General features: G+C 46.9%; 1 long non-coding RNA gene across 1 annotated transcript, besides 2 other annotated features; it reads right to left on the bottom strand.

Annotated features, from left to right (window-relative positions):
* Positions 1 to 2243: 2243 nt before the first annotated feature.
* On the bottom strand, positions 2244 to 17892 carry LINC02204 (long intergenic non-protein coding RNA 2204). The gene is made up of 2 exons (NR_135691.1): positions 17161 to 17892; positions 2244 to 4717 (listed from the first exon to the last, which is right to left on the bottom strand). It is a non-coding gene; the product is annotated as a long intergenic non-protein coding RNA 2204 (long non-coding RNA).
* Positions 10720 to 11523: an enhancer, noted in NCBI's record as "NANOG-H3K27ac-H3K4me1 hESC enhancer chr15:70871773-70872576 (GRCh37/hg19 assembly coordinates)". NCBI's record gives its function as "activates a minimal SCP1, AML or CMV promoter by ChIP-STARR-seq in naive H9 embryonic stem cells {active_cell/tissue: H9 hESC(naive)}" and the evidence as "EXISTENCE:reporter gene assay evidence [ECO:0000049][PMID:30033119]".
* Positions 16866 to 17810: an enhancer, noted in NCBI's record as "H3K4me1 hESC enhancer chr15:70877919-70878863 (GRCh37/hg19 assembly coordinates)". NCBI's record gives its function as "activates a minimal SCP1, AML or CMV promoter by ChIP-STARR-seq in naive H9 embryonic stem cells {active_cell/tissue: H9 hESC(naive)}" and the evidence as "EXISTENCE:reporter gene assay evidence [ECO:0000049][PMID:30033119]".

Raw genomic sequence — 27553 nt, forward strand, 5'->3', positions numbered from 1 at the left:
TGATGCAGTTTTCCAGGACCCAAGGCAAGAAATGTGCGGAAGGGTTTCCCTGGGGTCTGAATGGTCATAGTCATGAGAGCTGGTCCTTAGAGTTGCAGGTTGTGCTGGGCTAGCATTGAGCTTCAGATTCTAAGTGTCGAGGCAGCCATGCGTTCTTTAGTGTGTGTGTGTGTGTGTGTGTGTGTGTGTGTGTGTGTGTGTGTGTGTGTGTGTGTGTGATATGCAGGGGCCTCTAAAGTATAAAGTGCAAAGCACAAGCTCCTCTATTCAGTGGCTCCCAGTGGTGTGGAAAAACAGAGGGTTCAGAGGAGGGTTGGGGTCCCCAAGACCACACCTAGGTTTGACATTTCTTTGGAGGACTCAGGAGACTCAGCAAAGAGTCACACTCATGGCTATGATTTATTATACCAAAAAGATACAGCGCCAAATCCCCAAAGAGAAAGGCCCTTGGGGCAAAGTCTAGAGGAAACCAGGAATAAGTTTCCAAGAATCCTCTCCCAGGGAGTTGCACAAGACAAGCTTAATTCTTCTAGCAAGGAGTAGTGAGAACACATGTCAAATGTCTACCAAGGAAGCTCATTAAAGACTCTGTGCCCAGGGTTTCTGTTGCCACTAGAGGGGGAGCTGGTTACATAGGCACCCCTATGTCCAGCACATACCGCAATTCCAGACTCTCAGAAGGACAGCGCTGTTCCACATAAAGCATATTGTTGGGACAGCTTAGGCACAGTGAGCCATTCTTATTAGGGAATGGTGGAAACCCTCCTGAAATCCAAGTTCCCAGATGCCAGCCAAGGGCCAACCTTTCAAAGCAGGCCTTTCCAAGGAGATCAGTCTCAGGCAGCTATGGTGACTCTCTGAACAAGAAGTAACTGGGGTTAAAGGTGGAGGAAGGAGAGCCCTTTTAATTTCATCCACCTTTTAAATTCCATTTCCTGAGGCAGAGGTGAAAGCCGTTGGCCTGAGCAGAATGAGCATTGGAGACCAGCTTCTGGCCTCACACAGATCCATCCAAGCTGTCACGTGCAGTCTGATGTGTTCATTTTCACCTGGAATAACATCTGCTGTGTACAACGTAGACCGTAATTTATTTATCTAGTCTCCTAGAGGATACTAACAGTATGACAGCATTTTTATTAAGCAAACCTAAACAATATGCTGTTTAAGAACGTCATAGGTGGTTATTTTTAAATGCAAGGGAATTCAGAGTAACTCTTATCTGAGGAAGGGAGGGAGCCATGGGCTGAGATCAGAGAGGAGCACACAGTTATTAGTAATGTTCTTAAGGTGGGCAGTGAGTTCACAAGTTGACTTTATAATTATAGTTCAGGCCGGGCATGGTGACTCACACCTATAATCCCAGCACTTTGGGAGGCCAAGGTAGGTGGATCACCTGAGGTCAGGAGTTCAAGATGAGCCTGAGCAACATGGTGAAACCCCATCTCCACTAAAAGTACAAAAATTAGTCAGACATGGTGGGACGTGCCTGTAGTCCCAGCTACTCTGGAAGCTGAGGAAAGAGAATCTTTGAACCCAGGAGGTGGAGGCTGCAGTGAGCCAAGTTCGCACCATCGCACTACAGCCTGAGCAATAGAGGGAGACTCCACCTCAAAAAACATAAAATAAAATAATTATAGTTCATAATTTTACATAAGTGATGAATACATATGTTCTTTCAAATGTACCAAAAATATGCACTAAAGCATTTTAACTTTTTTTTTTTTTTTTTGAGACAGAGTTTTGCTCTGTGGCCAGGCTGGAGTTCAGTGGCACAATCTTGGCTCACTGCAACCTCCACCTCCCAGGTTCAAGTGATTCTCCTGCCTCAGCCTCCCGAGTAGCTGGGACTACAAGTGTGTGCCACCATGCCCAGCTAATTTTTGTATTTTTAGTAGAGACAGTGTTTCACCATGTTGGCCAGGATGGTCTCAATCTCTTGACCTTGTGATCTGCCCACCTTGGCCTCCCAAAGTACTGGGATTACAGGTGTGAGCCACCGCACCCGGCCGGCATTTTAACTTTTTAAAATTTACCATCTGGGTAATGGTGAGGTGCCCTTCCTAACTATGGAATTCTCAGGGCTGGCTACCATCAAAACTAACAAACATTATAATTTAATTGACATAGAAACCCATTATCATCTCCAATCAAGTGACATCAAGCTTAATATTTTTTATTACTGGCTGCTCATTTTTCTCACTGAGGATCTCATTTTGTGAATGAATTCAATTTTGTGAATCAACTCAATTTTATTACTCAATATTTTATTGTTTAATTCTTAGGGGAATAACATTATTTCATTTTCAGTATCTTTATTTTTACAGTTATGCTTTATTTATGATAAATGACTCTGGTCTTCTATTTATGGTAGAGATGCAAATGCTTCCTTTTAAAATAAGTTTACACAAGCTAAAAGTTGAGACAAATTAAATACAAACATTAATCAAATGATAGCACAAGCAGTATAGGAATGTGACGATAGTTGTCAAAGAGTTGAACGAAAGTGCTGGACAACACTGGCTGGTATGCAAATATCTAGCATCCAAGTTATCTTTGCTAGATCCAATGGGGGGCCAGAGAGTTACAAAGATGTGTATGTGTGTGCTTGTGTGCGTGTAACGTGATCTTTTTCCTCAGAGAGTTTCCACCTAGGAAAGCAACACACTTACCAATAAGGAAACAGTCACCGGTAAGGCCTCAGTGTCAGTGCCTGCAGGAGGCACATGTCAACCTGAAATCGGGAAAGGGCCAGGCTTTTAAGAAGACAGGTGTGAAGCTACAAGTCACAGTGCCTTTCAAAACTCTTCCTAAATATTAGGCTGCAACCAACCCTAGCACTTCCAAGAGTACAAACTTATGGAGTATAAACCAGTTGGCATCACTGGTTTATGGTACTGTATAGGCGTTTCTAATTTTAAAATAAGCCAGCAACATCTGGCAGGATGTAGTAGGGGGCTGTCCCATCTCTGTGCTGTGTATGTCAGGGCTTGCGGAGAAAGGCCCTACGAAGCACGTCCATCCTACCTGCCTATAGAAACGAAGAGCACCGTTCACCAGCTATGAACCACATGTCAAACACACAGACATACATAGTATGTGATGATCATGCTATGTAATGATACCAAGCTCTAAGAGGTAAAGAGCTCAGGAAAGGGATAGTTCACCCTGCAGGAGACTGAATCCGAAAAGGCTCATTAGTCATTATGATTCCTATTGCCTAAAACAGTGCCTAGCACATAGTAGATACTCAACTGATACTTGTTGTAGTAGCGAGTAGGGAAGTGGAAGGATTAAGCTGGCCATGATGAGAGGCTGAATAACGGTCCCCCCAAAGATCCATGTCCCCATCCCTTTCATGGAGCCTATAACTACTACTTTACATGGGAAAAGGGATTTTTCAGATGTGATTAAGTTAAGGCTTCTGAGATGGGGAGATTACCCTGGATTATCCAGATGGGCTCCTAATGTAATTATAAGTATCTTATAAGAGGGAAGCAGGGGAAGATTTCACTACAGGGAGAAGAAAAGGCAATATGACCACTGAGGCAGAGACTGGAGTGATGTGGCCACAAGCCAAGAAATGCCTGCAGCCCTGAGAAGCTGGAAGAGGCCAGGAAAGAGAATTCTCCCTGGGAGCCTCCCAAGGAATCACAGCCCTGCTGCCACCTTGATCTAGGCCTATAAGACTCAGTGTGGATTTTTGGCCACAGAACTGTAAGAGAATAAGTTTCCGTTGTTTTAAGCCACCAAGTTCGTGGTGATTTGTTACAACAGTACAGGAGGCAAAAGCAGCCACGATCTGGGAAGAAGGTAGAGTGAGAGGGAGCTGTGAAAGCTGTCTGGGCAATGCCAAGGACATTAGAGAGCCTAGGGGTTTTGAGCTGAGGCCTCCTAAGATGCAAACAGAGCTTGAGAAAAATGAATCTGTCTTGGCTGTGCAGAATGGATCAAAGGTGGAGAAGCCAGAGGCAGGGAGCTCTGTCAGGAGGTTCTTAAACAGTTCAGAATCACAGGGCTAGAGACAGGCCCCGGGATTAGCGGTGGAAAGGAGAGAAGGAGACCAGTACAAAAGAAATTTCAAAGGCAAAATTGATGGCGCTTAGTGAAAGGCTGAATATAGCAGATGAAGGAGAAATTTCTTCCAGCTGTTAGAGCAGACACCGGCAGAGAGAGGGAAATTGCGGCAAAGGGGGAGACATTTCTAAATGTTTCTAACAATGTTGAGCGGGTTAGTCTAAACTATAGCAGTGCCATGAACTGAGCTGCTCGAAGAGTTGGAGAAACAACTCATGGATCAACCCTTTTTATGGCTGGCCGCCGATGGCAAGAGGAAAATACTAGTGCCTGGGCTCCTTGTTATAAAGTGTGGAAGAATTCTTTCCAGAATTCTTTCCTCCCTTGACCTCTCCTCCCAAGGCCTCGATTTTCAGTGTGGAGGTGGGCAGGGGAATGGAGTGGAAGAGAAGGAGAGGAGTACAGATAGAAAGTAAAAAGGGAGGAAAAAACAATAGCATGGGTCAAACATGGCATAGACATATCCCAGCTGCCCTCTTGCCCAGGCGCTGACCAGTCTCAACAAGCCCGTCAGAATGAGGTCGACGCCTTCACAGCTCCATCGGCAGAGCCCTCTCACTGGGTGCCACTTCCATCCCTGTAGACCTTGAGCGTAAACAACCTTCTTGCCAGAAATGCAAGTGGATTCCGGCATGGTGGAGGACTGCAGAGCAAGGAGAAGTCAGTGGATTGAGCAGGAATTGAACTTGAAACATCTAATTTAGGGTGTATCCTAAAACCAAGCACTACCCACAGCAGGGAGCACTGCCCCAGAATAGTAATCCGTCAACCCTAGAAGCCATCTCCAGAGATCTGGGCTACAGATTGGGAGAATGTGAATCACAACAGTGCCCTGCCCCATGCACTCTGTGATCACCGGCCCCCAATGGGGAATTCTGCCACAATGCCTCCACCAACTATATCGAGAAATTTTCTAAGAAGGCCACAGCTCTGAAGCCTGCCTTTGTGCAGGAGCTGTCGAGTCTCATGGTTCAGCTTGGCTTGGTAAGGGGGAGAGAAAAGGGAAAGAGTTCCCTGCATTTACCACTAGTTATTTACTGTGCATCTCCTGTGTGTCAGGCACCTGCTAGATGCTTAGAATACTCAGTAAATAAGACAAGCCCAGCCCCTGTCCCCATGATGCTGATAAATATTATCAAAAGCAGCCTTTGAAAAAAGCCTGAGTGGAAGCTTGAATCAGAACCAAATCTCTATTTTCCAAAATGATTGAACTGGCAAACGTGCAAATGTTCTCAGGACCAAAACAGGATTTTGTTCCATTTGAGTCTCTCCTCTCTCCAGGGCCTCAAACAACCTGCTGAACAACAGATACTCACATGGCCTGATCTTCTGACAAAGTCCCCTGAGGAATTGCTGAGATTACTGAGAAATCAATTTGATCACACCATTTTCCAGCAATATTACCCTCTTCCTTTCCCAAGCCCCTTCACAGGTTCATCTGCTCATTTGACAATGACTTACTGAGTGCCCGGCCTGTGCCAGGTGTGGATAAAGGGTGCTGCGCTGCCCAGTAGGGCTGCCAGTCCACAGGTGCACACCATTTGTATTAGTCCATTTTCATGCTGCTGATAAAGACATACCCAAGACTGGGTAATTTATACAGGAAAAGGGGTTTAATGGACTTACAATTCCACATGGCTGGGGAGGCCTCACTATCATGGCAGAAGGCAAGGAGGAGCAAGTCATGTCTTACATGGATGGCAGCATGCAAAAAGAGAGCTTGTGCAGGGAAACTCCCGTTTTTAAAACCAGTAGATCTTGTGAGATTTATTCACTATCATGAGAGCAGCACGGGAAAGACCCGCCCCCATGATTCAATCACCTCCCACAACACATGGGAATTCAAGATGAGATTTGGGTGGAGACACAACCAAACCATATCACCATTCATCAGCTCTTGGCTGGGGGACAGGACAGGAGTGACAGCCCTGATCAGACAGGCAGAGAGCTAAGGGTAAACCTGAAGAGGAAAAAAGCCCAGGGTTGGAAAGTGGCAGAGCTGGGGGAAAAAAGCCCAAGATCCCTAATTCCTATTCTAACACCTTCCTCCAACACTCTGTCCAATTTGGCCACTGAGAAACTTTCACGGATGGGCCGTTAGAATTTACCAAGTGTATTCACATCCATGGTCTCAGTTGAGCCCCATGGCAACCCTAAGGTGTGCTTTTGCAACCCCATTTTACAGACAAGTAAATGGAGGCACAAGAAATCTCAGGATTTGTAAAGTTAACCAGCTGGTAGGTTGCCAAATTGAGGCACAAACCCAGGTCTTGTGATTTCAACGTTAGTCGTCTTTTCGCTGGACATCAAACTCTAGCTCTTTGTTCCTGGCATCTTGTCCCCCCACACCAAACCACCAAAAATCATACACACACCCCAATCCCCAAAATAATTAAGTTAAATTAAAAACAGAAATGTCTTTCTCCACTCTAAGATCTGGCAGCAGGCAGCAGGCAATTCTCCCGGGAACACTTAGTGATTTCCAAGGGGAAATCTGACCATCACTAACGTCCAAAGACTCCACCGTGGTTTCAGTTAGGGGCCGGAGCGCTCTGGTACTGGAGGCGAGGGAACAATGGACCGTGCTCCAGGAGAGAAGGTTGACCTCTCTCAGAACCCCCTCTGTTCCTGGCTAATATGTCAATAGCCTCTTAAATGGAACGTTATGTGTCTGGGATTTTACTGTCAGACCCACCCCTTTTTGGTAGGGTTTAGCTTTTTTTTTTTTTTTTAATCTAAAGTTGATTGCCTCTCTCATTATCAAAGCCACCATCCATCTGTTTCCACTTTCTCAAGGGCTGTAGCAAGGAATAGAGCTGGAAATGTGTTTTTACTTGAGGTTTCAGGATTCCCCCTCCTCCCTGCTTGTTGAGGGTTGTTCAAGTTTTAATGTTGTCACTGCAATATGATCTTCCAGTAGTGGGTGGCCCGGCTGTGCCATTTGAAACTAATTTACAGCTTCATCTGAGACTATCATCACTTGAAATTAATTAACCAGAGCAGACCAAAAGTTTATATGATGGGGGGAGGAGGAGAGAACTTTTACCTCGTAAGAAAAGACTCCCCAGACTTTGCAAGATACTGTCCTTGGGTACAAAGAACAGTCTTTACTTTCCTGTCCACCCACCGCTTTTTTGAAACTAAAACACACACATAAGCCATAAAACATTCAGGATGTTGTTTTCTGAAAGCTTTCTTTGGGAAGATAAGAACTCTGTGGCGGTTTTCACAGACCCCGAGCCGTGGCTGTTACCAGGAAGAAAGGTGAGTAGACTCATCACCAGCTGATAGGGATTTCTGCACCCCATAATGAATGCTAGAGATGAAAGAATGGGGAAGCAGGAAAGAGTTGGGTGGGCTGGGCAGGTCTCGGGGCATTTACCACAGTGCCATACAAAACAGATTCTTCACAGGCTGCAACAGGGAGACATCCGTGCCTCTCACATTTGGTAAGTATATAGTGACCCCTTGTTATGTGCCAAGCACTGTGGGTGAAGGAAACACCCTCAAGAGGCTTATATGTTTCATCAAAATGACAACCAATACTTGTAAAGCTCTTGGCAGTCTACGAAGCACTCTTACATACATTCCCACTTAATTCTCACCATGACCCCATGAGGCACATAGTACTATCATTCCATTTGATGAGGAAAGAAGCCCAGGTTCAGAGAAGGCAAGAGCTTTTCCCTGGGTCACACAGTTGGGAAGTGATGGAGCACGAATCCAAACCAAGGTCGGTAACAAAAATCAAATCCTCTTTCCACCAAACCTATAGCTAGGGCTTATAAACACAAAGCAACAGGGACAAAAGGGGCATTAAGTCTTGAGGTACCCCCACATGAATGTGATTAGGAGTCAGCAGGCATCTTATTTTTCTGCAATAAAGGGTTCCAGCCACTGCCATCATGAGATTTGAGCTAGTGATGTGGCCAGAAAAGGCAACTCTCTGACCAGCTCTAGGGAGTTCTGGGCCCTCAACCAGACATAAATCTGTGGGTGACAAAACTATGCACATCATTCTTGGGCTCAATTTGACTTTCTAAAGCTGAAACATGCAGAGTGTTTGGGCGGCAACAGATTATAATCTCTCTGCTCTTAAACACCAACGAGTATGTGAAAGTAATTTGAGAGCCATTAATGGATGCTTGCATAATGCCTGGCTCCTACTAAATACTGAAAACACACTGGCTGTGATTGTGATTCCGCAAATCCTCTCCCTCCTCGAGTCTCAGAGTTGGAAGGAAGGGACCTTAGACACAAAGACTGGTCCCTGATCCAACCAAAAATATGGATATCTATTATAGAATTATATAATCGATTGTAACAGCTAACATTGGGCACTTACTGTGTGGTAAGTGCTCTTCTAGTATTTTGAGCAAATTAATTCTCAGGACAACCCTATGAGGTCTTTGATTACCCCATTGGACAGATAAGGAATCTGCAATAGAGATCAGTGACATATCCTCTTGCCCAATCAGGATTCAAACTCAGGCAGCTTGCCTCCCAGGGAGAGCCCTTAGCCACGATGCTATTCATCCTGTCCAGGTCCTCCCTAATGTGCTGAACAACTGAGTGTGTAGCCTTTGCTTGCACATCACAGTAACGGGTGCTCACTACCCATAGAGGCAGCCTCCTTTTGCAAGACTGAGGATTTAAAGTGGAAAATTCATCTCTATGTTGAGACGAAGTTTCTTTTCTCTTTTTTTTTTTTGAGATAGAGTCTCACTCTGTCACCTGGGCTGGAGTGCAGTGGCACAATCTCAGCTCACTGCAACCTCTGCCTCCAGGGTTCAAGCGATTCTCCTGCCTCAGCTTCCCAAGTAGCTGGGACTACAGGCGCCCACCACCATGCTGGGTTTTTTTTTTTTTTAAGTAGAGATGGGGTTTCACCATGTTGGCCAGGCTAGTTTCAAACTCCTGACCTCAGATGATCCGCCCGCCTCAGCATCCCAAAGTGCTGGGACTACAGGTGTGAGCCACCACACCCGGCTGGGCCTGAGATTTTGCATTTCTCACATGCCCCCAAGTGATGCTGATGCTGTTGGTCCGAGGACCACATTGTGAGGAGCAAGGGTCTAGCTCAGAGTAGGGCTGAGCAGGCCTGCCACCTATCTCTGTAAACGGTGTTTTATTGGCACACGTCTAACCCATTGGCTCCCACATTGTCTGTGGCTGCTTCCATGCCGCAACTCAGTTGAGTGGTCGTGACAGAAACCATGAGGCCCACAAAGTCTAAAATGTCTGCCCCTTTATAGAAAAAGCTTGCCTGCCCTTGCTTTAAATGACCACCCTTCAAATTTTGAAAAGCTCTGCCCCGTCCTCCACCCATAGCCTCTGAGCCATCTCATCGCAGGCTGAACATTCCAGGCTTCATTACCCCTCCCATCAAGTGCCCTGGGCATCCTGGTGTCTAACCGTGAGCACACCCAGGTTTGCCAGGACCCCCTCTGAAGAAAGAGCCTCATCCCCCAGACACTCCACTATAGGAGTAACTGAGATATTTCTCTTCGTGGGAAGGTCAGCACGTGGCGCCTCCATGGTCCTGCCGAGCCTTCTGCCCTGGGTCTCAGCCCCCGAAAGACATCCTGCCCTGCTCCCTGGCACTCTCTCCCTCCTCCTCTCCTTCCCACACTCTCTGCTGCCCCACTGGCTCTTCAGCTTTCTGCTGAACAGTTGACAGTAACTGCCACCGGATGCTGGTTACCACTCTGGTACTCAGGCCATTAGGAAGTTGGCACCCAGGCCACTGCAGAATAGGCCTTCCATTCTAGAGGCTATCGGGGGAAGCTCTACGTGGTTCCGTCCTTGTGGAGTAGGTGTATCTGGCCCCCGGCTGCTCTCAGAACTAGAAGGCAGGATCTCAGGGCTGGGAGATTACCAGGAGCCTTATTAACCACTGCGTCTGTGACCTCAAGGCCCAAGCTCACTGCATGGGCATCTCTAGTGACTAGACATGGCTCAGAGGGGTCTCCTTGCAACTCAAGGGGGTGGCCTTAAAGACACGGCCCTGCCCTTAGGCAAGGCAAGAAACCCCTTAGCTGGAGTGATCTAGGACTGAGAAGTTCCTGATATGCTCCACACCTTTTTATTTCTTGAGACAGAGTCTTGCTCTGTTGCCCAGGCTGGAGTGCAGTGGCGCTATCTCAGCTCGCTGCAACCTCTGCCTCCCAAGTTCAAGCGATTCTCGTCCCTCAGCCTCCCAGGTAGCTAGGATGACAGGCATCCACCGGCACACCCATTTTTTCTTTTTTTTTTTTTTTTTTTTTTTAGTAGAGACAGAGTTTCACCATGTTGGCCAGGCTGGTCTTGAACTCCTGATCTTAGGCAAGCCACCGCCTCAGCCTCCCAAAGTGCTAGGATTGCAGGCATGAGCCACCAGGCCCAGCCCACACCTGCTTTTTAAAAAATTCGTTTCTGGCAGCTATTGAGCATTTAAAATGTGGCTCCCGTAAATGTAGTCCTGAAAGACTACATTTATTTTATTTAACTGTAAAAAGCCACACATGATGAGTGGCTACTAAATTGGACAGTACAGTATCTAGCTCAGGTATAAAATTCACACATCAAATTCATTAGAATTTGATCTAATTCTGTGACCTCAAGGACGGAGCTCACTGCACGGGCATCTCTAGTGGCTGGGCATGGCTCAGAGCGGTCTCCTTGCAACTCAAGGGGGAAGCTTTAAAGACCCGGCCCTGCCCTTAGGCAAGGCAAGTTCATTAGAATTTGATCATTTCTACTCTTTGGGGCTTGGTCAAAAATTTCCCCGGGGAGAAGTCACCTATGGAGCTATTCTGAGTCACTGGTTCCTCCATATGAAACAAGGCACTAAGAATAGAGTTAATTTGGGAGGCCGGAAAAGGGGGCCCTGGAAGTCACAGGAATCCAGGAAAGAAGGAAAAGAACAAGCTCAGGCCAATTGGAGATCAAAAACACCAAACAATTAACTCTGCCAACCTGGGGACCCCACTAGGACCTTGGTGGTGGCCAATCCAGTTGGAGGACATCAATTTCTACTTGATAATTGGAAGGAAGGGAAGGAGGAAGAGAAGGAAAGAAGGATGGAGGGGAAAGAGCCATTCCTCATTGTCCTGACCCTCAAGGAATTTGTAATCTAGTTCAAGAAACAGAATCACAATAGCTGAAACCGCTGGAGAACAATGAGGTGCTAAGTTGTGGCACTGCCATGTCTAAAGCAGAAATCCCAGGACTGGGGACATGGGTGGGGGCTGAATCGCACTGAAGAAGTGGGAGTGGGCTTGGGCAGGAAAACAAACAGATTTCATTTGGACTAAAGGGAAAGAGAAGACACCCCGGACAAGAGGCAGGCTGGGACAAATGCAAGAGGAGGAGGCATCAGGGCTCAGTGGCAGCAGATCCTGTGCCCCTGATTAGGGTGAAGGGCTGGGGTTGGGGGAAGAGAGGATGAGGGTGGGGTGCCAAGGCGAAGCTGGGCTTGGGGGTCCTGGACAGCACAAGGGCGGGAGTTTGGGCTTCAGTCATTTTCTAGCTTTCTGAAAAGGAAAAAGAAGTTGTCCAGGGCTCCTGCAGAGGCTCCTTCTGCAAAGTCCGTGCAAGCAATGCCAAGGGTCAAGGGGTGGGAGGAGCCAGTGGCTGAGCCGGTGGGTCCTAGCCCCCTTGTGCAGGATGCAGCTCCTGTGGCTGCTCTGAAAGCAAACAGCCCGGCTAAAACGTCTTTAGAACCACTCCGCACTGCGGTGAACCTTCCTATGCAAGCGCCCTCCCTTCTCTCTTTTTGAAGGTGTCAGACTCTGGCCAGCTCCTGCTCCTTGCCCTTGAACCCTGCACCGGCGTTTCCCATTTGGCACATCTAATTCTGTGGTCGAGTCTGCTTCTCATAGGACCCAAAATAACAAAAGAGGGATAGAGAATTCTATTCTCTCCAAAGAGATTACATCCTCCTTGAGGGTTGAGGGCTCTCCACGACCAAAGCAGCCCCTGACAATATCTGCCTCTGGAACACAGGAAGTGCTCAAGGCACAGGAAGTGGGGCTCAGGCCACCAGGAGCAGGGGTGTGGCACAGGCAAGCTTCACACTTTGCCAGAGCAAATCCCAATGATGGCCCCTGCCGGCAGCCTCCCCTACCCTGTTCTGGGCCCTCCCCTTTCTGATAGTGACCCTCCCCAGTTTTGAGCAATGAGCACGCTCATACATCAAAGTCCCCTGGAGAAAGTGAGGCCAGCATGCTCGCACCTGAGACTCACCCCCACGCTGCTCAAATATGGGCACCAAATGTTGCAAACTTTTGATCCTGAAGCGATAACAGAAGTGTGAGGAATGGACAGGAGCACAAGGAGACCACAGAGAGGAACCAAAGCCCTGGTCATGTTTTTCGGGGAGCGGGGAAAGAAGGGGAAGTGGAGGGGGTAACTGTCACCCCCCAGTCCCTCCTCTGTCACAGGCTGCATTGCTGAAGAGGAGTCAAAGGCCATCGGGGAAGACACTTCCACAAACCTCACTCACCCACCAGGCTCACTAGCTCCATCCTTCAAACCCAGGATTCTCAACCTCAGCACCAATGATACTTGGGCTGGAGATCCCTTTGCTATGGGGGCTGCTGTGTGCATTGTGCCACATTTAGTAGCATCCTTGGACTCTACTGACCAGGTGCCAGGAACACTTCTCTAACTCCAGTTGTGACACCCACAAATGTCTTCAGATGTTGCCAAATGTCTCCTAAGGGCTAAAATCATGCTGGTTGAGAAGCACTGACTTAAATCATCAGAAATCCCACTTCAGACAGAATAAAATAAATACGTCTATGGACTGTGTCTCTTCCATATCAACCTCCTTACACTCAGGGCTAACCAGATCTCTGCTAACCTAAAACTCCCAAAACAGCTCTTTCCTGGGCTAGGCCTGGAGGTTCCCAGCTCGTCCCCAGATCCGGCACCTTCTCACTGTGCCCATCCCCCTTTTATCAAATCCCATCAGCTAGGCAGCCCAGCGAGCCCAGCAGACAGCCCCAGAGGTGCTGCCTGGATATAGTCTTCAGGTTGTCTCACTTATACATGCCAGTGGTTTCTGGCATGGATCAATAATATAGCTCTGCTTCCCCTCACTGCATTTTTTATTTTTATAGGTTTAGGGGGTACAAGTGCAGTTTTGTCACACGGATATATTGCATAGCCCTTACTGCATTTACAGGAAACTAATCCAAGTGGGTATCACATCACACTCACTGCCCATTGCTGAACGCCTCTTGATTTATTTATTCATTCAACAAATAGTTATTGAGTTCCTACTAGGTGGCAGGCACTACGCTAGGAGCTAGGGATATAAGTGTGAATCCAATAGACACGGCCCTACCCTTCCCAGCGGGTAGAGGTGCAAGGCTCTGAACTCTGACTCTGGACTCCAAGAAAGGTGAGAGAATAGATAGCGTAGGATATAAAATCTGCTTAGCATGGTGCCTGGCACATGGTAAGGTAAAAAAGAGCTCACCCTGTGGTAGGGGTTGACGTTATTGTTGTTATTCAAGATGTTGCAGCCTCGTGGGAGACAGACCAATTTAACATGCAATTACATCAAGTGTGATAAATACCCTTGGAGACAGATGCATAGAACTCATTTGGGGGTAACCTATGAGGTTCAGGGATGTTTCTGCCAGGAAAAAATGCTAGTAAGTTCAGATCTGAAGCTTAAGTACGAGTTAGCCCCTCTCCCCACCAAAAGTGAGGTGGTCAGGAGGGTATTGCAGACAGAGGGAAAAGCATGTGTTAAGGCTCAGACACCAGAGCATCACAGCATGGCAGGGGTGGGCTGAGAGTGTTCAGCGTGACTAGAGCATGGATGCTGATGATGTGAGCAGGGCTCACACCAGTCACTCCTGTGAGCCATATTAAGGCATTTGGACTTGACCCCAGAGCAATGGGAAGCCATGGAGAGTTTGGCAAAGGAGGAGTGTGATCATATTTCATTTACAACATTCACTCTGGCTGGAGAGGGAAGAAACATTGGAGAGACAAAGTTGGCCACTGCTGTAGTCTCCCAATGAGAAGGGATAGTGGCCTGGCCCAAGGAGTAACAGCAGGAACAAGAAGAGGTGGATAGAGCAACAGATTTGTGAGTGACACAGTTTCAGGCACATAGTAAATGACTAATCACTAGCTGGAGAACAAGTACACAAGTGAGGAGTAACAGTCAGATCTTTGGAGGACCATGTAGAGCCTCAGAAGACCTCCCAGCAAATTATCATAACATCCAGCCCGGGGGGGGGGCATCTATGGCCTCAGAAGATGAACTGAATGCTAGGCAGCTTCAGGAGACTGATTAGAAACAAAATAGAAGATGCCTTCCTCCCTACATAGGCAGTCTCCCCTTTGGCAGTCATGATCTGTACTGTCAGAGAGAGGATGAATGATGAATGTCAGGGCAGAACAACAAAGCGTGCCACGGCTTCAGGGGCTGCCACATGTGGAGAGGCTCAAGAAATCAGAGTCTGGAAAGGCAGGAGCTGAGAGGGACCAGATCAAAGGCTCCCAAAAGTCCTGCTGCAGTCACCTATGGCTGACCAATGACAGATGAGCTCACGCAGTTAAAGGTATTACATAAGGTGTTCTGCAGGTGTTTGGGGTCTCCAGGATGGACTGGGCACAAGCACATCCCCCAGAGTGCAGAACTTCAGCTTGGAGCTTAAAACAGGAGGTCTGGGGGCCACTACAAGAAAGGCCAAATTTTTAAAAATACTAATTTTTAATGATGTAACAAATTCTCATAAAACATTTAAACATTACAGATAAGGCTAAAGTCCCTCAGCACCCATCCCCAAATCTAGCCCCTTCTTCGCCTCTCCCCAGAGGTTCCTATGTTTCCAACATTTTTTTTTTTTTTTTGGTCTCTCAGGCTGGAGTGCAATGGCATGCAACCTCCGCCTCCTGGGTTCAAGCGATTTCTCCTGCCTCAGCCTCCCGAGTAACTGGGATTACAGGTACCTGCCACCACACCCAGCTAATTTTTGTATTTTTGGTACAGACAGGGTTTTACCAGGTTGGCCAGGCTGGTCTTGAACTCCTGACCTCAGGTGATCTGCCTTTCTCAGCCTCCGAAGGTGCTGGGATTACAGGCTTGAGCCACCACGCCTGGCCCTTTTCTATTTATTTATGAATGGGTATATACATACCCAAAGAAAGTGTGTCATCTTGTAGGGAGTTTGCTTGCTTGCTAATTGTTGCTGTGAATTAATCTGTCCTTCTGAAATTTACTATTTTTCATTCTACAATATATCTGGAGATTTGCCCACATGGGTATATAGGGCTCTATGTCGTCCTTCCTAACCATAGCACGGGATCATATATTATACTATGTTGAATTTGGCCATTACCCCATCATGGGCACTTTATATAATGTTTAGAAAATCCACAATATCTTACCCTGTAAGGATACTCAGGGCCAAACATAGAAGTTTCTTCAAAAAGCTCAACATAATGGTAGAGTCGGGAGGGGCCTCAGGGCGAGAGGCAGGGAAAGTGGGGGTTAGTCCTCCAGCCTCAACAGGGAGGAGCCCATTCTGGGCAATAGTTATTAATAAAATGGAAGGTTGAGAAGAGTTGCAGTGGGTGAGAGAGGACAGACCAGTTGCTTCATGCTTGTTCATGCTTGGCTTGACCGATACCACACGCTGAGTGGTAAAAGAAGGTTCTCCTAGCCTTCCCTGGGGGTGGAATTACAACTCAACACTGGGGCTAAACCTGATTTCAGAACTCAAGCAGAGAGAGATCCTTCTACCATGTTGGCAGAAGGCAAGACGGGGGTGGATGCGAGTCAATAGTCTCCATAAATGTCTTCATTGGGCCACGGCTTACCTGCCTCCTCACCCACCCCAGCCACAAGCACACACTCCACTTGCTTCTCCAAGTTAGGGGGCCAGAGGGGAAGTGTGGGAGGCTTTTGATTGCTATGGCTTCTGTATTGAGTTCTCCTTCAGATCACACCTGAGTTTAGACGACTCAGCCCAGGCTGGATCCTATAAGACATGTCCCTCTTCACTTAACAGATGGGGAAATTGGGCTTTAGGAGAGGAGAAATAAGCCCAAATCACAAGCTAGCAAGGGGCCACAAGCCTTTTGACCCTCGCCCGCAAAGTAAAATCAATAAATTCCACCTGGATTCCTTTTCAGCAAAACGCCGTCAGACACCCGTAGGCAATTCTTTTCTAAGTGGAATCACTTGTGGCTTAGGCCTTTGATGTGACTCATCTGGGCAGAATCCCTGTAAACAGTGGGCCTGACCCGCGAGGACTTGGGGGCTGCTCGGGTCAGAGCCCCTCGGCCCCCGTCACAGACCCCGGGGGTCTGGGGAGGGGCGTCAGGCCTCCACCAAAGAAACAGCAAAGACAGAGCAGCGGGACCCGGGCGAATCCGCGCCCGTCCCTGCCCAGGCTGCCCGGGTTCCGCCGCTGGGCGACCCCAGCATTTCCTTTGAAGTCTGAAGCTCTCTTATCCCCGGGCCCCTGCCTCCCGGTACCGCCGATGCGCAGCGATTGCCAGGCAGGTCTCCGCCGGGCTGGGAGAGCCGCCGCCGACCCTGTGCGGGCCCCTCCCCTTTGCCCGGGTGCGCCGCGCCTTTGCCCCGGTGCGCAGCGCCCCCTGCGGACCGAGCGTGGACCCCTTTCCAGCCCGAGCAGGGTCGCTGCCGCGGCGGGCACCAGAGGCCGAGCCCCGCGGGTGAGGACCCCTCCCCCGGCAGCAGCAGTTCTCAGGAGCGCAGGGTTTCAGCGTCAAGGGGTTCTGGGTTCCAGGCGGGACTGGACAACTTGGGAGCTGGGTAGCTGGGACGCGCTGGTCCCCTCTGTGAACGCGCTCCATCCGCAGATGGAAATCCCCTTCCCCCCTCCCCCCCTCGACCCCAGCCCACAGCTAACTTCCCGAGCTCTCTGAGAACCACAGCAGTCGAGGTAACGTCTTTGGCAGCTCCTCTCCTCCCCGCCCCCAGTCTCTGCACAGTGCCCTGTCACCCCAGGTGACCTCACCCCTCCCTCTCCAGAGCCTCCTCTGTCTCTCTCCCCGCAGCCTCCCCTGAACTCTGACCTGTACAACCACGGGTAGTTGTTGCGGAGCACTTACTTGAGAGTCAGGAGATTGGACTCCAGTCAGCTCAGCCAGCCTTTTAGGGCATCGTTCTGTTCCCCAGGTTGGAGTGTCCTGACGCAATCCCTGTTTACTGCAGCCTCAACCTCCAGGCTCAAGCGATCCTCCCGCTTCAGCTCCCACCTCCGCAGTCCCCCACTAGCTGGAACTACCGGCACCGGCCACCACAACCGGTTAATTTTTGTATTTTTTGTAGAGACGGGGTTTCGGTATGTTGTTCAGGCTCCTCTCCAACCCCTGAGCTCAGATGATCCGCCTGCCCTGGCCTCCTAAAGTACTGGGATTATAGGTATTGTGTCCCGAATTGGTGGGTTCTTGGTCTCACTGACTTCAAGACTGAAGCCGCGGACCCTCGCGGTGAGTGTTACAGCTCTTGAGGTGGCGCTTCTGGAGTTTGTTCCTTCTGACGTTCAGACGTATTCGGGGTTTCTTCCTTCTGGTGGGCTCGTGGTCTCGCTGGCTCAGGAGTAAAGCTGCAGACCTTCGCAGTGAATGTTACCGCTTTTAAGGCGGCGCGTCTAGAGTTGTTCGTTTCTCCCGGTGGGCTCGCGGTCTCCCGGGCTTGAGGAGTGAAGCTGCAGACCTTCCCAGTGAGTGTTACAACTCACAAAAGCAGTGTGGACCCAGGGTGAGCAGTAACAAGATTTATTGCAAAGAGCGAAAGAACAAACCTCCCACACTGCGGCAGTGGACCCCCAACTGGTTGCCAGTGCTGGCTCGCGCAGCCTGCTTTTATTCTCTTATCTGGCCCCACCCACATCCTGCTGATTGGTAGAGCCCAGTGGTCTGTTTTGACAGGGCGCTGATTGGTGCGTTTACAATCCCTGAGCTAGACACAAAGGTTCTCCACCTCCCCGCTAGATTAGCTAGATACAGAGCGTGGACACAAAGGTTCTCCAAGGCCCCACCAGAATAGCTAGATACAGAGTGTTGATTGGTGCATTCACAAACCCTGAGCTAGACACAGAGTGCCGATTGGTGTATTTACAATCCCTGAGCTAGACATAAAGGTTCTCCAAGGCCCCACCAGAGCAGCTAGATAGGGAGTGTGGATTGGTGCACTCACAAACCCTGAGCTAGACACAGGGTGCTGATTGGTGTGTTTACAAACCTTGAGCTAGATACAGAGTGCCAATTGGTGTATTTACAATCCCTGAGCTAGACATAAAGACTCTCCACGTCCCCACCAGACTCAGGAATCCAGCTGGCTTCACCCAGTGGATCCCGCACCAGGGCTGCAGGTGGAGCTGCCTGCCAGTCCTGCGCCATGCGCTCGCACTCCTCAGCCCTTGGGCGGTCGATGGGACTGGGCACTGGAGCAGGGGGCAGCGCTCGTCGGGGAGGCTTGGGCCGCACAGGAGCCCATGGAGGGGGTGGGAGGCTCAGGCATGGCGGGCTGCAGGTCTCGAGCCCTGCCCCGTGGGAAGGCAGCTAAGGCCCGGCGAGAAATCAAGCGCAGCGCGCCGGTGGGCCAGCACTGCTGGGGGACCCAGTACACCCTCCGCAGCCGCTGGCCCGGGTGCTAAGCCCCTCAGTGCCCGGGGCCGGCAGGGCCGTCCGGCTGCTCCGAGTGCGGGGCCCTCCAAGCCCACGCCCACCCGGAACTCCAGCTGGCCCGCAAGTGCTGCACGCAGCCCCGGTTCCCGCTCGCGCCTCTCCCTCGCGCAAGCTGAGGGAGCCGGCTCTGGCCTTGGCCAGCCCAGAAAGGGGCTCCCATAGTGCAGGGGTGGGCTGAAGGGCTCCTCAAGTGCCGCCAAAGTGAGAGCCCAGGCAGAGGAGGCGCCGAGAGCGAGCGAGGGCTGTGAGGACTGCCAGCACGCTGTCACCTCTCAGCGTGACCTACGTTGGACAATTCAGTTGTCCCACTCAGAGCTATTTCCTCCTCTTTAAAAACGGAGAAGATCTGCTTGGGTCTGGCACTCCTCATTCCAGTTCACTCTCCAAACTCCATACAGAACTAGGAGCACGCATCCCTATTCCCCTTGCCCAGGGATGCCCCTGCCCCTCCTCCTGGACTAAATTAGTAAAGAGCACCACCAAACCTCATCACCCAGACTACAGAGCTGGGACAGGCAGTATAGACTCTCCTGCTACATCCTGAGAGTCTTCAGAGATGCCTCCCCACCCCCTACCTCTCTGCCTTCTGTCTAAGCAAAGCCACCCCCACATCGCTGCCGGAATGGCTATGCAAAACACAGTTCAGACCAGGCCACTCCCTGCTTCAAACCCTTCAGTGCCTCAGCCTTCAGAATGAAGGCCAAGGTTCGTACCCAGGCAGAGAGAACCTTGACCATCGACCCCTGCGGATGTCTCCAACTTCACACCCCATCCCTTCCCACCTTAGACTGGTCCCCATAATACAAAACGGCTTGTGATTCCACACACTATCCCTCACTTACAGGGTCCCCTTTGCAGAGGACGTCCTCTTCCCTCCCCACCCCACCTCATGCGATAGACACACTGTCCTGTGATTAACTCCTGCTCCTGTGCCTCCTCCCCACCCCACCTCTGCTTCAAAGCCTCCTGTGCTTGCTTCGATTGCTTCCTCTAACCACATTATATTAAAACGTAATTCAGTGTTCTTGTTGTTCCAATTACTTATCTGTCTTCCCTTCTAAATTGTGAAGTCCTCAAGTGCTGTCTTATTCATATAACCCAGATGATTCCTGGGATCTCCCAGCCCACTTAGTTCTAGTTTAGATGAGTTTGCAGTAGACACGGCCAATTGCCCACCCAACAGCCATTTTCCAAGTCATCTTTAATGATAGAATCTTGATTTTGTTCAGGAAGACAATAAGCCCAGCTAAAATAGTCTCCTTCCCAGATTCTCTTACCACGAAGTGTGGCCACGTGACCCATATGTGGCAGAAGTCACTGGATGGCACTCCCAGAAAAGCTTTTCAAAAGAGGATACATTCATTCATCTGTCCTTTTTTCCCCTCCCTGTTCTTCTTTCCTGGAACATGGGCGAGATGTCTGGAGGAGGAGCAGCCATCATGCAACCAAGAGGACAGAAGCTGCACACAAAGGTAGAACAGCAAGTGAAAAGGAACCTGGGACCCTGGTGACAACTTCCAGACACTGTACCAGCCCCTTGATTGTTCAAACCTCTCTTTGGAGGTTTTTCCTCTTACTTGTCAAAAATTGCAATCATAACTGGTACAAACACAATTTCCTCACCCAGAAGTTCAAAGCTCTCCCCTACAAGATGTCTGCCAGCTCCCAGTGGGCTCACATTCTCCTGATCACCACTGACATTAAGCTCCTGCTCACTTTTCTCTTTAACTCTGGAACCTGAAGTGGCAAACCACTAGACTTCCATTTTTACAATTTCACAGGAAGCATTGCAGAGGGAGGTGGGTTAACTGAAAATGTTTTATAGTAAAGAGACAGACAGAGGCATGCCACATTGCAACATCTCACACATAATGAGACAAAGGAGTAGGAAGCCTCATTCTTAGAAATTCTTCAGCCACCCCAGCCCCCTAGAGAAAAGATCTTGACCACATCAGCCCATTGTGGTCCCCAGCCTCACACCCTCTGACTGCCCTCTCTCTCCCTCTCTTCTCCTCTGATCCTCCCTTCCCAGCCCTCCAATGAGTAAAAACCAAATTTTCATGTTCTCATGCATGGCAACTTAACACATCATTCCTGTGGCTTGGACTCCTATATGCACCCTCCCCCTCTATCCCAGTGGCTTACCACACTATTATTCCAAAGACAGTTGCCTCTCTATGGGAAACTGTTACTAGAGGGTAGGATCAGTAATTTTTCACTCTTACCACATTTGTCTTTCCAATATACAGTAAAGGGGCTCCATGAAGATGGGTCATATGAATGGGCCAGAAGGGAATCTTGAGACACCCCCTCGCCTGCCATGAGCCATCGCCAATACTCACCTATTTTAAGAGGTGCCTTGGATTCAGATTCAAAGGAATAATTCTCCTGTAGAAATGGCAGACCAAGTGAAAGGAAAAGTTGCTGTGAAGGCCAGGCAAGTGCAAGACGTGACAGATAAGCACAGCGATTCTCTGTCCATGTGCAAATCACATTAGTCTCTGGGCTCAGGTTTGCCAAGAAGAACTTAGACTGAAGTTAGAAGGAATTTTAAATCTCATCTGTAAAATAACTAAGAATGATATGGACCTCTTGTAAACTGGGGATATTTTTTCATTCCAAATACTATGCCTGGTTGTTGGGTTTTTTTCCAGTCAATCTTGGTAAATTTATTTTATTAATCTTTTCAAAACACTAACTTTGAAGTGGTTTTGTTCTTTTATTGTTGTTGTTTCTTTTGTTTGGTTGTTTTTGTTGTTGTTGTTGTGTTGTTTTGTTGTTGTTTGCTAGAGTCTCACTCTGTTGCCCAGGCTGGAGTGCAGTGGCATGATCTTGGCTCACTGCAGCCTCCGCCTCCCAGGTTCCAGCAATTCTGCCTCAGCTTCCCGAGTAGCTGGGATTACAGGCCTGCACTGCCACACCCTGCTAGTTTTTGTATTTTTAGTAGAGACGGGGTTTTGCCATGTTGGCCAGGATGGCCTCGAACTTCTGACCTCAGGTGATCCTCCCACCTCGGCCTCCCAAAGTGCTGGGATTACAGTCGTGAGCCACCACGCCTGGCCTGAAGTGTTTTTATTATATCGACTGTATGCCTATTTTCTCTTTCTTCACTTACCTTTATTATCACCTTCCTTCACTTTCTGTTTTTATTCTAACTCATTAAGTTTCATGTATGCCTCATTAATATTCAGGTTTTCTTCATTTCTAATATAAGTGTTTAATGCTATGAACTTCCCTGTAAATACTGCTCTGGTGGTATTATCATGTTTTGATGTGTAATATTTTCATTAATGTTCAATTATAAATATTTTCTAATTTCTATTATAAGTTTTTTAACCCGTGAGTTGTTCAGTGTTCCCTTTTCTAACTTCCAAAATAATGGGAGTTTATAATTTCTTTTCATTGTGGTTGTTGATTTCTAACTTACTTGCATTATGGTTAAATAACATGGCCTGTATAATAACACTCCTTTTGAAATTGTTATGGCTTGCTTCATCACTTTTCTCATGATAAATTTTCATAAATGTTCCACATGTGCTTGAAAAGAACAATGGGCCCTTTCAGAGAGTGGAGGGCGGGGGGCGGGAAAGGATCAGGAAAAATAATTAATGGGTACTAAGGTTAATACCTGGATGATAAAATAATCTGTACAACAAACTCCCATGACACCAGTTTAACTGTGTAACAAACTGACATGGTTTGACTGTGTCCCCACCCAAATCTCATCTTGAATTGTAACTTCCACAGTTTCCACGTGTCATGGGAGGAACCCAATGGGAAGCAATTCAATAATGGGAGCGGGTCTTTCCTGAGCTGTTCTCGTGTTAGTGAATAAGTCTCACAAGATCTGCTGGTTTTAAAAATGGGAGTTTCCCTACACAGGCTCTCTTTTTGCCTACTGCCATCCATGTAAGATATGACTTGCTACTCCTTGCCTTCTGCCATGATTGTGAGGCCTCCCCAGCCATGTGGAACTGTAAGTCCCATTAAACCTTTCTTTTCTAAGTTGCCCAGTCTTGGGTATGTATTTATCAGCAGTGTGAAAACAGACTAATACAGTAAATTGGTACCAGTAGAGTAGGGCGCTGCTGAAAACATACCCAAAAATATGGAAGAGACTTTGGAACTGGGTAACAGGCAGAGGTTGGAACAGTTTGGAGGGCTCAGAAGAAGACAGGAAAATGTGGGAAAGTTTGGAACTTCCTAGAGACATATCGAATGGCTTTGAACAAAATGCTGATAGTGATATGGACAATGAAATCCAGGCTGAGGTTGTCTCAGATGAAGATGAGGAACTTGTTGGGAACTGGAGTAAAAGTGACTCTTGCTATGTTTTAGCAAAGAGACTGGTGGCGTTTTGCCCCTGCCCTAGAGATTTGTGGAACTTTGAACTTCAGAGAGATGATTTAGGGTATCTGGCAGAAAAAATGTCAGCATTGAAGAAGTGACTTGGGTGCTGTTAAAAGCATTCAGTTTAAAAGGGAAACAGAGCATAAAAGTTTGGAAAATTTGAAGCCTGACAATGTGATAGAAAAGAAAATCCCATTTTCTGAGGAGAAATTCAAGCCTGCTGCAGAAATTTGCATGAGTAATGAGGAGCCGAATGTTAATCCCCAAAACAATGGGGAAAATGTTTCCAGGGCATGTCAGAGGTCTTCACAACAGCCCCTCCCATCACAGGCATGGAGGCTTAGAAAGAAAACATGGTTTCATGAGCCGGGCCCAGGGTCCTGGTGCTGTGTGCAGCCTAGGGACTTGGTGCCCTGCATCCCAGCCACTCCAGCTGTGACTAAAAGGATCCAAGGTACAGCTTGGGCCATGGCTTCAGAGGGTGCAAGTCCCAAGCCTTGGCAGCTTCCACGTGGTGTTGAGCCTGTGGGTGCACAGAAGTCAACAATTGAGGTTTGGGAACCTCCACCTAGATTTCAGAGGATGTATAGAAACGCCTGGATGTCCAAGTGGAAGTTTACTGTAGGGGCAGGGCCCTCATGGAGAACCTCTGCTAGGTCAATACAGAAGGGAAATGTGGGGTTGGAGCCCCCACACACAGTCCCTACTGGGGCACCACCTAGTGGAGCTGTGATAAGAGGTCCACCGTCCTCCAGACCCCAGAATGGTAGATCCACTGATAGCCTGCACCATGGGCTTGAAAAAGCCACAGACACTCAATGCCAGCCTGTGAAAGCAGCCAGGAGGGAGGCGTTACCCTGCAAAGCCACAGGAGTGGAGCTGCCCAAGACCATAGGAACCCACCTTTTGCATCAGCATGACCTGGATGTTAGACATGGAGTCAAAGGAGATCATTCTGGAGCTTTAAGATTTGACTGCCCTGCTGGATTTTGGACTTGCATGGGGCCTGTAGTCCCTTTGGTTTGGCCGATTTCTCCCATTTGGAATGGTTGTATTTACCCAATGCCTGTACTCCCATTGTATCTAGGAAGTAACTAATTTGCTTTTGATTTTACAGGCTCATAGGTGGAAGGGACTTGCCTTGTCTCAGATGAGACATTGGACTGTGGACTTCTGAATTAATGCTGAAATGAGTTAAGACTCTGGGGGACTGTTGGGAAGGCATGACTGGTTTTGAAATGTGAGGACTTGAGATTTAGGAGAAGCCAGGGGCAGAATGATATGGTTTGCGTCCCCAACCAAATCTCTTGTTGAATTGTAACTCCCACAATTCCCATGTGTTGTGGGAGGAACCCAGTGTGAGGTGATTGAATTATATGGGCGGGTCTTTCCTGCTCTGTTCTCGTGATAGTGAATAAGTCTCACGAGAGCTGATGGTTTTAAAAACGGAAGTTTCCCTACACAAGCTCTCTTTTTGCCTGCTGCTATTCATGTAAGATGCAGCTTGCTCCTCCTTGCCTTCCACCATGATTGTGAGGCCTCCCCAGCCATGTGAAACTGTAAGTCCCATTAAACCTCTTTCTTTTGTAGATTGCCCAGTCTTGGGTATGTCTTTATCAGCAGCATGAAAACAGACTAAATACACAAACCTGCACATGTACCCTGAACTTAAAAAACAAAAAAGAAAAGAATGTGTTCTCTATTTGTGTGTAAAAGTCTATTAGGGCAAACTTCATCTTTGTGTTGTTCAAATACTCTAAATTTTTGTTAATTTTTTAATCGCACAGATTAATAAGAGAAGAAAATTAAAATCTATTTTGACTGTGAATTTGTAAGTTTTTTCTTATAGTTCTGGCAATTTTTGCTTTACATATTTTAATGTTATTTTTATTAGGTTTATTTTGGTTTAGAATTGTTACATCTTCCTAGTGAAGAATGTCCTATCATTATGTAATGGAACTGTAAGTCTGAAGTTATCCTTTTTTCCTTAAATACTATTTTTCTTCTATTAATATCACCACATCATTTATGTTCTTTGGCTTAGTATTTGCCTGGTATATATCTTTCTAGCCTTTTACATTCAGCTTTTATGTATGCTTATATTTTAGTTATGTCTCTTGTAAAAAGCATATAAACTGAATTTTGCTTATTTAAAAAATAACTCCAAAAATCCTTGTCTTTTACCAGAAATTTTAGTTACTTTACATTTATTGTGACTGTTGGCATATTTTGATTTATTTTTGTTATCTTATTTTGTACTGTACACATTTGTCCCATTTTTTTCTCTTTTTCTTATTTGGTTTCTCTTTCCTTGTCATTTTTTTGGTGGAGGGAGGGTGATTGATTTGTTTTTCTCACTCAATTTTTTACCTCTGTTATTATAGTAGCTACCCTAGAAAGTTCAACAAGTATGTTTAATAGTGTCTAAAGCTAATTAGTATCCTTACCCCTTTTCTGAAAAATTCATGGATTTTTAAATACTTAACTCTGATTACACCTCCCAACTTGCAAGTTACTGGGATCTACTTTTTATCCTATTTTTCCTTTAGCCAAAAAATAGACATTATGTCTTATTTTATACAATCATTGCATATTTAGATATGACCATACATGTTCACCAATTTCTTGCCTCTTAATTCCTCTTTGTATATCATATCTGAGATCTGGGATCACGTCTGAGATCACATTCCTTCTATAGGAAGTATATTATTTTAGAATTTCCTTAAGTGAAGATTTGCTGGTTTCAACTTCTTCATTTTTTTGTCTAAAAATGACTTTATTTTGGCCTCCCATTTAAAAGATATTTTTGCTGACTATTGTATACTCAGTATTGTGTATAAAACTGTATTTTAGACTGTTATTTTCTTTCAACAATTTTTCTATTATCTTCTGGTTTTTATTCCCCTTGCAAGGGTAATTGTTTTGTAGGTAATTCATCTTTTTCTGGCTGCTTTTGTAATCTTTTCTTTGTCTTTGGTGTTCTGCATTTTTCCAATGATATGTCTAGGGGTAAATTTCTTATCCTGCTTGAAATTCAGAGCATCCTAGTTCTAAAGTTTACTGTCTTTCAACAATTCTGGAGAATTCTCAGCTATGATTTTTCTATCTTCTCTTCTGAAACTCTGATTAGAGATTACTCATCTTCCATGTTGCTTAACTTTCCTTTCATACTTTCTGTTGTCTTTTCTCTCTGGGATACATTCTAGGTAATTACTTCGGATCTATCATCTAGTTCATAATTCTCTCTTCAGCTGCTTCTAGTATATCACCCATCTACTCAAATTTTAGATTTCAATTGCTGTTTCTTATTCCTGAAAGTTTTATTTGGTTCTTTTATAATTCATCTTGGTTCTTCCTTTGATATTCTATTTTCTTTTTTCCCTTTTCAAAGTACTTATGTTCTTTTATCTCTTTCTTCGCTTATTTTCAAGTATCTCTTTCATTTCTATAAATGTATTAAACATACTTCCTTAATACTCTGTATCCATTAATTCTGATATGAAAGTCTTTTCTGGACTAATTCTGCTGTCTGTTTTTTCTGCTGGCTCTTGCTCATGGTGTAATTTTTCATGCCTATTTTTTGATTTTTGACTGTGAGCAGAAATTCATTGGAATTTTATCTGTGGGGATTCTTTGAGCCTAGGGTTGAAGTTGTGTTCCTCTGGATACTTTACATTTGCTTCTGCCAGCAATTCAAACCTAAGACTGCTTTAAATTCAATTCTCTGTTTAAGGTATTTCAGACCATATAAGCAGAATGAATTTGGGCTGCAGACCTACAGGGCCAGCCTGCAATTATAATTTCACAAAGAATACTTTTTCTTTCCACCCAGTGTCCAGTCTTGTCAGGCAAGGGCAAGTGTGCCTGCTGTCCCCTCCTTCCTGGACATTAGACATTTACCTTTACATTAGAGACACAGCCCTTTTGAGTCCCAGCTCTATGTGAGGGTCTCTATTAGATTTATCAGCCTGAGTGGAATTAACATTTTACCTCCCATACCATACCCAGCTTTCAAAAACTGAAGTTCAAGGCCATTGTTTTTGGCATATACCTTCAAGGTGAACTGGCTTTTCTGCTAGCTTACTTATCTGCCTTCCCTGTTATTGTTATGACTGTCGTTGTTATTTGTCTTCTTTTTCTTTTGTTTCTGTGCATTCATTATTTTCTTATCTGCTCAGCTCTTCATTTAAAATCTTTTTTTTTGTTCAAAACCATTTATCCAGTTGTCTTTTTTTCTTAACTGTTTTCTTCTTCTAGGATATAATTCAATGTGTCCAATTCACCAAACTCCCTGAAACAAAGTCTGGAAACATTTTTGGATTGGGCATAGTTGTCCCCAGATGGATTCATGATTCACATTATCTTCACCACCTAGGTCCCACAATCACCGCAGTGACTTTATCGCATTGCTTTCATGCCTCCCTCAGCTTTACTAACACCAGACCCTGTGGATGACAAGTGA

This window comes from Homo sapiens, chromosome 15 (assembly GCF_000001405.40).
Source record: "Homo sapiens chromosome 15, GRCh38.p14 Primary Assembly".
In the NCBI taxonomy this organism is placed as follows: Eukaryota; Metazoa; Chordata; class Mammalia; order Primates; family Hominidae; genus Homo; species Homo sapiens.